Here is a 2,071-nt window from a genome sequence, read left to right as displayed (position 1 = left end):
GGCTGGCCGGCTGTGTGAGCCCCACAGGACTTCTTTCTCTTCTTCTCTCCTGCTCCTCAGCACCTGAGACCTCAGCAGAGTTTCCAATGGTCAGTTGTGTTGTTTTGATGGCACCTAATCAGGTCTGTTTCCCATCCATGGGGCTCGCGTGCGATGCTGCATTCCATTAGGCCTCCACTGTCACAATTTATGGTGCTGCCTCAAGTAATGATGGAAAAATGAATTCACATTCCTTAAAAAATTTTTCACCTGGGGAGGTCGTGGACACCTAAAGGGGTCTTTGAAATGGTCTGAAGGGGCCCTGCAGATATTCCATTCTAGAGGTTCTGGAGAAAGGGAGCTATAATCATCTAGTACCATGGATGGACAAGAGTTATCAAGGAAAGTCCTGGCAGGAAAGAATTCACATGGGACGCACGCCTGAAGGGACAGCAACCGATCAAGGGCGGCTGTGCTGCAGTAGTGCCAGCCCTTGGCAAAACTGTGAAGCTTGTTTTGGGGCATTGCTCACAGTTCTGCAAGCGGTGTGTTTGTTGCACAATCCCAGAGGGTCCATTGTCTTGTAGTCATAGGGCAATCTGTGTGTTAATACCAAATTTTTCCAGCAGATGGCAGTAAAGGGTCTTGAGGAAGGAGTGACTTCTAAAATCTTATCAGGTTGCAGTTTGGACTAGACTAGAGGGCCATCGGCCTTCCCTTTCACGGTTCTCTGTTTTACGGATGGCGGTGTTTGAGGAAAGGGAAGATTTTAATTGCTTAAACGAATTCCCTGCAAAGTGTTAGCAGATGAGGTTTAAATATCATCTATATTAGGGCTGTTAGGGATTTACTAGCCACCAAGATATAAAAGAGAGAACTTTAATGGTGAAATTTCATGCACTGAGACAAAGAGAAAAAATTGCTTTTTCCTTTCTTTCCTTTTTTTCTTCACACCCACCTTCCTTCCAAGACAATGCTTCAGCTGGGATCTTGGTTTTGAGGCACCGAGGTCGGCTCCCAGGATCTGTTCCTGTAGCACATGGAGGCACTTCTTATCAAAGATTTTTGAATGTAAACAGGCTGCAATCAATTAACTCTTTAAAAATTACTAAGGGCAGGCCGGGCGCCCAGCAATTTGGGAGGCTAGGGTGGGCGAATCACGTGAGGTCAGGAGTTCGAGGCCAGCCTGACCAATATGATGAAACCCGTCTTTACTAAAAATACAAAAAAATTAGCCAGACATGGTAGCATGTGCCTGTAATCCCAGCTACTGTCTCAGAGGCTGAGACAGGAGAATCACTTGAATCTGGGAGGCAGAGGTTGCAGTGAGCCGAGATGGCGCCATTGCACTCAAGTCTGGGCAACAAGAGTGAAACTCCGTCTCAAAAAAAAAAAAAAAAAAAAATTACTAACGACATCATATAACCAATCCAGGATCCTTCCTACATGCAGGGAGGAAAGAGGAATAAAGTTTTCTGAGTGCCTATTGGGTCTTTCCTTTCATTATTTTTCTTAATCCTGGATGCCATCCTTTTAGGTGGTTATCATTTTCCTCATTTTACATAGAAGTAAATGGGTAGTCAGAGAAGGTAAGGCACCTCCAGGAAGTCTCCCAGTTAACATGTGGATTCAAATCTTTTATTTATTTATTTTTATTTTATTTTATTATTATTATTTTTTAATAGAAATAAAGATGGATGTCTCACTATGTTGCCCAGGCTGGTCTCAAACTCCTGAGCTCAAGCGATCTTCCCCTCTTACCTCCCAAGGTGCTGGGATTACAGGCGTGAGCCACGGAGCCCTTCCTGGATCCAAATTTTCACCTGTCTGATCCCAAAGCCCAGCCTCATGTCAGTAGAGTGCTCTACCACATAACTACTAAAGATAGGACTAAAGATGACTTCTTTTTTATTATTTTGAGTTTTTTGTTGTTGTTGAATAGGCAAAATATATACATGTACGACAAATTCAAATACACAGTCGCAAATACATTTCTCTGGTTTCATGCCTTGTCTGGGGCCACCCTCCCACAGGCAACCACAGTTATAGTTTCCTATGTAGTCTTTCAGAAACGTTTTGGGCTTTTATAATA

The 2,071-nt window shown here is 43.6% G+C and overlaps 1 annotated feature.

The window, feature by feature from the left end:
• Positions 405–906: an enhancer, noted in NCBI's record as "NANOG hESC enhancer chr12:66501070-66501571 (GRCh37/hg19 assembly coordinates)". NCBI's record gives its function as "activates a minimal SCP1, AML or CMV promoter by ChIP-STARR-seq in primed H9 embryonic stem cells {active_cell/tissue: H9 hESC(primed)}" and the evidence as "EXISTENCE:reporter gene assay evidence [ECO:0000049][PMID:30033119]".

The sequence above is a fragment of the Homo sapiens genome, chromosome 12 (assembly GCF_000001405.40).
Source record: "Homo sapiens chromosome 12, GRCh38.p14 Primary Assembly".
Lineage (NCBI taxonomy): Eukaryota > Metazoa > Chordata > Mammalia > Primates > Hominidae > Homo > Homo sapiens.
Note: the sequence above shows the minus strand (reverse complement) of the source record. Positions and strands in the feature narration are given on the sequence as shown.